The sequence below is a fragment of the Homo sapiens genome, chromosome 3 (assembly GCF_000001405.40).
Source record: "Homo sapiens chromosome 3, GRCh38.p14 Primary Assembly".
In the NCBI taxonomy this organism is placed as follows: Eukaryota; Metazoa; Chordata; class Mammalia; order Primates; family Hominidae; genus Homo; species Homo sapiens.
Window position 1 is genome coordinate 13789382 of NC_000003.12, and position 9184 is coordinate 13798565.

A 9184-nucleotide genomic window follows, 5' to 3' on the forward strand; every position below is an offset into this window, starting at 1 on the left:
GACCCACTCCCTTATTCACCCATGATTGCTCACCCTCTCTGTGCTTGGCATTAGGAATCACATATTTCCTGCTCACCTTCCCAATCCTGTACTTTCTCCTTGTAATTCATGCCAAGGCTTCTTGCTCACTTCTCTGGGCCTCAGTTTCCCCATCTGTAGAACAAGGAGGGCATGACCCTGGGTGACCCTATCTATCCCCACATGTTCAAATACAGCTCACCCTTGGCTATCCAATGCCAGTAATTCCTCCTCTAGAAAGCCTCTTGATTTCCCCAGCCTGAAGCAAACTCTCAATCATTCATTCATGGTTGCATGCATTCATGAACCTGCACTGTCTCACATGGTAGCTGCCAGCCATGTGTGGCCACCGAGCACTTGAAATGTGGCTGCTGCTGGGTACTGAAATACTATTTGGGACATATTGGCTTAACTAACATATTAATATTATTAAAATTAATTACACCTGTATCTTTTTTGCTTTGTAGACAATTTCAAATTACCTATGTGGCTCGCATTTTATTTCTATTGGCAATGGCATTAAACTAACATTTGCGAATGCATGCAGGGTTGCAAGGGCAGTAGCGGCTACCGTTGACAGAGTGCGGTGACTCAGTTCATCCTGACAAACCCTGAGAAGTGCATTCTGTGCGTATTTTTATTTGACAGGTAAGAAAAAGGAGGCTCGGAGAAGGGGAGCGGCTTGCCCAAAGGCACACAGCTCTGGATTGTGGCAGGCGCTCTAGTCTAGAAAATAAACTGGACAGCCACGATGGTGTAAGGAAGAGACCTGGCAATTCCAAAGCTGGGGGTGGCAGTGGGCTCGGCTCCTGCTGCAGGCACCCAGGTTAGTAGCAGCAGCCAGTGTTCTCCAGGAGTCTGGGGTGTCAGAAGGTGGAAAGCCCCACCAGGGTGAGAACCAAGCTGGTCACGGCACCCTGAAACTCCAGCTTAATTTCATCTTGTGCTTGGATCTAACATTCAGGTCCCACCTGCCATTCTGCCCACAGGTGGAGTGATGTTGGCTGAGCCCCGCACCTATGCAACCTCATTGCAGTTTCGCTAGCACACTGGCCTGCCAATCATGATTGGCCCAAAGTCTCTGAGGCCACAGTCGCCAAGAGGAAGCAGCAGGGCCACAGCCCACCTTAGTGTGGAGCTGTCACCCAGACCTAGTCAAAGTGGCTCTACAGAGCCAGCTGGGCTGGCTACTTTTTGCCTACCCACCTCCAGCCCCGCCCTCCACACTGCCTGCCCTGCACCCAGGAGGCTGACCTCCCGAACCATCGAGGCCTCCTGCCCTCCTGCTTCCCATTGGGTTGAGCCTCCCAGGGTCCCAGCTCTTGCTGGGTTTTGGAACCCTCCCTCCCCTGCCCCTTCAGGCCCAGGGTGGTGGTGGCTCCCCACTGCTCCTCACTCCCCACTGCTCCTCACTCCCCACTGCTTCTCACTCCCTACTGTGCTGGCCCTGCTCCTTTCTGCGTGGGCTCCCTGAGCCTGGCCCACACCCCTCTAAATAGCACTCCCCACAGGGCTCTTCAGCCACCCCTTCTGAAGGAGCTGTGTGCTGCCTGCCTGGTCCCATCTTAATCCACCCACTGCCCTTCATGGCCTGGAACTCGGTTCTCCCTCCCGGTAGAGTCAGCAGTGGCTTCCCCTCCCAGTCTCCAGGGCCCTGAAACCACCTTTCTGTCTGATGTGCAGCACGTCTTGCCTCCGAGCACGGCCAGCTCCCATGAGTCTTGGCGTCCTCACAGGCTTTGAAGGCCTGAGGTCCTGGTTTTCTCCACAGCTCTGGGAACACCATGGCTTGATGCTGGGGTCTTTGGCACAAAGGGCTTCTCAGAGACCATTGTTCTGTGCCCAGTTCTTCTCTCCACCTCCTTTTTCCTGGGGCCTGGGACTTGGCTGACCTCAGGGCATTTTGTTCAATGACTAAGTGAAGTAATAATCCAGGACATCCACAAAGTCTGGAAACACAGATGGATGTGTGTATGCACGTACATATATGTACATATATTATGATGTACATGGCTGTTACACATATTATACATATATGAATATAGTTAATGTTGTCTAAGACATCTGTGGCTTGTAAAACCATCTAAAAATGCCATGTAAGTATCTAGACGCTCTGGCCATCCTGCAGGTGCTGATCAGATAATGTGCACTTGCAGTGGATGGAGGACAGAATGCCTTCAGCAGCCTCCAGAGCTGTCTGGTTCACCCTGTATCTGCACAGCATCTAGCCTGAAGCCTCCAGCCTACTCAGTATGAAGAGGGTTTAGTAAAGGGATGGATAAGCGTTTCCTGGATGGAGGCACTTTATCCTTGTGACTTGGCATCATCTCTGTGGCCAAGGCCAGGTCTGAGGACTGGGGCTGGTCCCAGGCGAGCTGGTGGACAGGTGGAAGCCTGCGAATGGGTAGGTGGGTGTGCTCTGCAGGAGCCCGGCTCCGGCTTTGTGGAGACAGCCGGCTGGCTATTCCCTGTCAGCCCCTCTAGATCCCTTCTTAGTCCTTCACCCTTCTCCGTGCCCTGGGGGCTGACCCTGGGGCTGTGTCCACAGGCTCCCAGCCTGCTGACTTCTGTGGGCCTGAAGAGGGGCTGGAGGGTGAGCAGAGCTCCCGCACCGCGGGGTTGCAGGTGGCTGGGGCTACGTCCACCGAAGCTGCAGCTGTGGGCGGCTGCCTGCTTCTCTAGCCTCAGCTCCCTGAGCAGGTTCCAGGAAGGGCTCTATTCCTGTGTCTCAGACCTTGGGAGGGAATGCTCCCTACTGCCACCAGCCCCAGGGCGCCTCACCATTTCCCTTAACCCTTCATGCGCCTCTGTGACAGGTCCCTTTTCTCATCACCCATTTGTGCTGTTTCCTGCCAGGGCCCTTCCTGATTCACCAGGAGTAACCACCTTAAAGGGCGGTTTAGCAAGTTAAGTGAGAGAATTCACCCAGCAGCCCACCTGGCTCATTGCTAGTGCTCAGTAAATGGCTGTTACTGACGATGCCGTGGAGGGCAGGGTAGGGTAGAGGTTAAAACCATGGATTCTAGAGCCAGATGGGTTCAAATCCCGGCTCTGCCGCATCCCGGCTGTGTGACCCTGGGCAAGTTGCTCAACCTCTGTGTGCCTCCCCCGTGGGAGTTACCATAACACTCATCACACGGGGCTGTTGTGAGGATTAAACACTTTAACATCACTAAACACATTAACAGCAAGGGCTGGCACGCACTCAGTAAACCTTAAATAAGCACTCAGTCCACCACTGTTACCTGGCGGACTCACAGTCCCCACGTGTGCTGGTTAGAAGTGGAGTCTCAGCGGCGTGCTGCAGCCAGTACCTCTGAGATTTACCCCGTGGGGATCGGCAGGGATGGCAAATGCGAGAGCTGGTTCCCAACGCGGCTGGAAGCCTCCTGCCTGCTCATCTCCAGTCTCCACTCACAGTTTTATTTCCCCATGTTCTCCTCAACTTCCCCTTCCTTTTGGAAGTTGGACACAGTCAAGCAGTCCCGAAAGTGTGCTCCCAGCCCCTCCTTCCAAGGTGAGCTCACACCTGGGGGAAGGCTCACAGGGCCGTGCCCTCTTCACACCTCACATCACCTCTGGCCTCATTTGTCTCAGCTTCTCACCTTCTCACTCTGCTGGCTGGCTCCCTGTCTGTCGCCTGCCCTGGGCATGCGGCAGATGGGGGCATGTCAGCCAGGCCAGCAGCTCCGTGGGCCCTTCCCAGGGCTGGCGCACCCCCCTTGCCTGGCTGGCCGTGTAACTGGAGCTGCAGGCACTGGAACTGAGTCCCCCGGTGGCCAGATCGCACAGGTATCAGCTGACCGCCTGTGTCCCGTTTTCCTTCACACGCGGCGCAGTTAACAATGGCCGACAGTCCTCACAGGGGGCCCGGGCCCCCCCAGGGAGAGGCCCCGGCATGCTATCGGGCCACATGATCTTGCCCCTTAAAAGGCCTGCCCTCCCTGCTGACATAGCACACAAATAGGGCCTTTACTCGCTGCCAGCGACCGTCTGCCGCCCTGGGAGTGTGAGCCGGAACCCGGGCCCCTGTGCCAGCCAGGCCCGCAAGGCTCGCTCTCTCCCTCCATGTGAACCTGCTCTCGATACACCTGACCATTCTTCTCCCCTCGGCCTGGATTACACCCCGTAAAAGCCCTTTGTTCCTCGGCCCTGGACAAAACTGAAGCTGGCACCGCAGGGGTCTCTGCTAATGTAGCCATCTGCCCTGACCCACTCTTGGTGGAAAACCAGCTCCGGGCAGGGAATCAGGTTGGGGGTGGTGAACAGGGTGACGGGGGCGCTGCTGTTGCCCCAGATAACCCTGGTTAGTCTCTGCGGCAAGATGCTGGGCTCCTTGGCTCTAGAAGTTTCTCTGTAGCAGCACATGGGAGGTCTGGGTTTGTCGTCTCGTGTGGCCTCTGCTTTCCTGGGGGACCTGGAGAAGCCTCTGGCCCCTGCTGAATCTTTCCCCTCTTGCTCTGCAAAATGGGATAATAATGATTCCTCTCTCCCTGTGCACACCTGGCTCCTAGCAGTCCCTCAGTTAATGCTGGCCATGGCCAACAGACAGGAACAAGAGTGGGGCTGTCAGGGATGAGGATTTCTATGCAGGGATGGGGAGAAGGACTGGGCCCAGGTCCTAAAACTGGGATTGAGACCTTTACAAATACACCTCTCAGGCAGGGCGGTGGAGTGTCGTGGGGCGGTAACTTGAAGAGGCTCCAGGGATTTAGGGTTCTGGAGAGATCATTCTAAGCTAAGACCTGCCCTTGGAACCGAGTCTGAGTCTGTAGAGAGCCCAGGTCCTGGGAAGATGCTAGAGCTGCTCTGTCCAATGCTATAGCCACTAGCTACATTTAAATTAAATTGTAAATTACTATTTAAATTTACAAAAAGAAAAATGCAAGATCCAGATCCTCAGTTGCATCAGCCACGTTTCAAGTACTCAGTAGCCACTCGTGGCCAGTGGCTGCCACACTTGAGGATGCAGAATACGATATTTTCATCATCATAGAAAGTTCACTTGGACTGTGCCACTCTGCAGGCTGTGGGGGATTAACTCAACACACACTGCTGAGCGCCTCCAGTATGACATGTCACATGAACGTGGCGGTCACAGGAACCCTCTGAGCTTCCATGGCTTGCTCCTTCCATGCTCATTTATTAAACATGATGGTGGGGTGGGCTGGCGCTAGAGGGAGGGGCGCTGAGCTCTGCCCTCAGCAAGCTCGAAGGCAAGGATCCCAGTCATACAAACCTGCATGTGCAGGCCAAGTGCTGGGGGCCCCGTGGAGGAGAAGTAACCCCAGGTGGGGCCAGGGATGCTTCAGTGTTTCCAGACGGGCTGAGGATGAGTTCCCAGGTCTTCAAGTTCTGAGTTAAGCATCCAGGAGCTTCACCACCAGGGTTTCCAGTGGTCCCAAAATGTGCCTATAGACATCCAGGAAGGAGGAGATCATTACCTTCGCTCCAGCAAAACGCAGACTGGCTCAGCTGTGGTGGGCAGGATAATGGGCCCCAAATATGACCATGGCCTAGTCTCTGGGACCTGGGACTATGTTACCTTATATGGCAAAAGGGTCTTTAATTATGTGAAGGAATGAAAGCTCTTCAGATGGAATGATCACCTGGATTATGCATAGAGCCAGGCATAGTCATGGCATAGTCATGAGGGTCATTACAAGAAGGACATGGGAGGTCAGAGTCAGAGAAGATGGGGGAGTGATGATGCAAGTACAGAGTGGAGACATGTGCTCTGCAGGTGGGGAAGGAACCTCAAGCCAAGGCGTCCAGGAGCTGAACAAGGCAAGGACACAGCTTCTCCCCTTGGAGCCTCAGAGGAGCTGACCCTGCCCACACCATGACTTCAGCCCGGTGAAACTGATAACAGACTTTTGGCCTCCAGAACTGTAAGAGAATACATTTGTGTTGTTTTAAGCCACTGAGTGTATGGTCATTTGCTTCAACAGCGAGAGGGAAGTCATGCACTAGCATAGAGGTGACAATCATAGGTTTTGGCAAGGGATAGAAACAGGTTTGAATCCCAGCTACTCCCTTGTCTAATGGGATAATCTTGAGCAAGTGGCTTCATCTCTCTGCTCCTCAGTTTACCTTATCTAAGAAAAGGGGAACATAATGATACCCACCTAATAGGGTCATTATGGGACTTGAAGGAAATAAACCAAGTGGATTATTCCGAAAACGGTCCCTGCTGGCCTCAGTATTGCTATCTCTTGGAAGGAAATCTGTGGTTTATTGAGCGTGGATTGCCCAGAGCCAGACTATCTGGGCTGTAAAATTACTCAATCCTGCCTCAGTTTCTTTAAATTAGGGTAATAACAGAGGATATAACGATCACCAAATGAAATAATCTGCACGTGGCACTAAGAGTAGCACCTGGCCTCTGGGAGGCATTTTGTCAACACTGATTATCACTGGTGTCCTTTTATTCCCAGCTCCAGTACCCCGTGCTGAGGCCCCACACAGGCCTGTCCCTTTGACAGAAGGGCCCGAGGTGCAGGGTTGGGCACGTGGCCAGGAGGGCTGCCCAGCGGTGCCCTGAAGAGGAGCAGGGCAGGAGGGGGCTGGGCTGGGCCTGGCCGGGCCTGGCTCTCGGCGTCTTCACTTTTTCTGTCCCCGCGCCCCTCAAGCTGTCCAAACACCGGCCAGGCGCCCAAGGAGCACTCCCGAGGATCGGCCCTGGGAAAGGTTGGCTGTCTGCAGTGTGCGGTTGGAGGAAGTGGCCCTTGTTTGCTTCCCCGCAACCCTAGGAGCTTCCTTCCCTCTGCGTCTTTGCTTTGCTTTCTTGCGGCTGCCTGCTGTGGAGGGCTGGCCGCCCGGTGGACCTGGGCCCTGGGGCCCCGGATGCTTCCAAACCTGGAGAAACACCCAGAACAACAGCTCTGTCCCAGGCCTCTGCTCCCAGGATTGACTCTTGGACTCATCGCAGTTGAAGCTCAGGACAAAGCCACCAAAGCCAGCATGAGCTACACACCCACTGTGTCCTGGACCCCGCTTCAGTGCTCCCTGAATGCTCTCACGACACCACGAGCCCAGACATTCTCTCCCCATTTGCAACCCAGGAAACTGAGGCAGGGAACTGGCAGGCAATGTGCCCAGGTTCTGCAAACTACTCAGAGTTAGACTTGGTCTTCAGTAGCCTCGCTCCGAAAACTCCTGCCCTGTGGGGCCGCCCTAGAGCTTTAACATAGAATGAGAGGCTCAGAATCACCAGATCAGAGCATTGAAAAACAGAATCACAGAATCCAGGAATCTGATTATGGAAATTCTCAACAGTATTACAGGATCTTGTAATGAAATCAGATTCTTAGATTCTCTGGCTCATCACATTTCATTGTCAAAAGAGACCCTAAATGTTCTATGGTCACCCCTCCTTCTCCGCCCCTTTGCCAATGCATTTCCTTGCAACCCCCAGCACAGGGCTCCCCCAGCCCGCCCATCCTATAGCGCTGTGGTTAGAATTGTCTTCCTGCTTCCTCCACAGCCCCCCTTCCGTCTTCCAGCCCCCTCTGATCATCTCTCCTCTTCCTACTTGCCTGCATAAATTAGCACCCCAGCCTCTGAACATCTGGTGACAAACAGTGGCACTGATTCTAAAAGGCTGTGTATTTCTTGTATGGATTTCACAGGGCCGTCTCTGAGGGATGGATGGGGAAATTTCATCTTCAAGCTGTTTGTTTGGCTCAGGGTTGCTCTAGTTCCCCCAGGCAGGCTCTGGGAGAGGGAACTTCAGCTGCGAAGGAACCTCACGCAGCTCTCAGCCAGGATCGGCCCCTAAAAGTTTGTATGAAGATAAAATCTGCTAGTGGGAACAAATGACAGGTAATCCTGGGCACCCGGCGTTCGATGGAGAAACGCCGCCTGCAGCATCCTCGTGGGTGGTGGTCTGAAGCCCCTTGCATCTCTCCAGCAAAGGAAAGCTCACTACCTCCCCTGCTCTATGGGGTTTATCCAGGGCCCTGGTATAGAATGCACGATGCTCCAGCCCCCAGGTGCTGACACCCTCTGTTGAGTAGAGTCAGAGGGGGCATCTCTTTTGACAGGGAATCTAACAAAAATGTAAAAACCACCACTGTCTGGCCCCAAAACCCCACTTTGAGGAGCCAATCTTACAGCAACATTTGTGCAAAAGATATGTTCAAGGATCTTTGCTACGATGTCGTTTGTGGTGGTGGCAAACACATAGAATCTCATTCAATGTCCATAAATAGGAGACTGATGAAATACATTTGGATACCTTCAGGCTGTGAAATACTCTGACTGTTAAAGAGAATGAGGAGTGTTTATTTGTGCTTCTTCTGACGTTCAGAAAACAACTTGTAAAACAGTCATACAATGGGAATATGTATGTATATGTTTATAATTCACATAGGCAAAACTGATCATAGTGGTTACTTCTGGGGAGCAGGATTTTGGAGATGAGTGTATTTTAACCCTTCACTTTAGATACTTCTGCATGTTTTTAAACTATGGAACATGTATTACTTTTGTTAATAAAAATATAAAGGATATGGCTGGGCGCAGTGGCTCACCCCTGTAATCCCAGCGCTTTGCGGGGCCGAGGCGGGTGGATCACTTGAGGCCAGGAGTTCGAGACCAGCCTGGCCAACATGGTGAAATCCTGTCTCTGCTAAAAATATAAAAAATAGCCGGGTGTGGTGGTGCGTGCCTGTAATCCCAGCTACTCGGGAGACAGGCAGGAGAATCACTTGAACCCAGGAGGCAGCCATTGCAGTGAGCCGAGATTGTGCCACTGCACTCCAGCCTGGGCAACAGAGTGAGACCCTGTCTTAACAACAACAGCAACAATAACTATATATATATAAACACACACACACACATATGGATATTACTTCTTTACACTGGAGGGAGCACAGAGAGGCAAGGGCTGGCTCAGTTCATCCCATCTATGGGTTCACTCACCGAGATCTATCGGGCACTGGCCTACTCTGGTTTCCTCCTCCAGCGAATGTGATGGGCCTGCCTCGATGCCTTAATCCACGTTTTAGTTGATTATTCCAGCTGCGGCTAGACCGAGGTATCCTGGTGGCCTAACACCGTGGAGGTTGGTTTCTTGTGTTTCAGCAGCCCAGGAGGGCATGCAGAAAGGGGGTCCCCATGGGCAAGGTGGGTCCCAGCCTCCTGCCACCCGTGGCTCCTCTAT

At 53.2% G+C, this 9184-nt stretch overlaps 1 pseudogene, besides 1 other annotated feature; it reads left to right on the forward strand.

Moving 5' to 3' along the window:
- Positions 3008-3075, forward strand: TRSUP-CTA2-1 (tRNA suppressor (anticodon CTA) 2-1; annotated as a pseudogene).
- Positions 3176-3816: an enhancer, noted in NCBI's record as "H3K27ac-H3K4me1 hESC enhancer chr3:13834054-13834694 (GRCh37/hg19 assembly coordinates)". NCBI's record gives its function as "activates a minimal SCP1, AML or CMV promoter by ChIP-STARR-seq in primed H9 embryonic stem cells {active_cell/tissue: H9 hESC(primed)}" and the evidence as "EXISTENCE:reporter gene assay evidence [ECO:0000049][PMID:30033119]".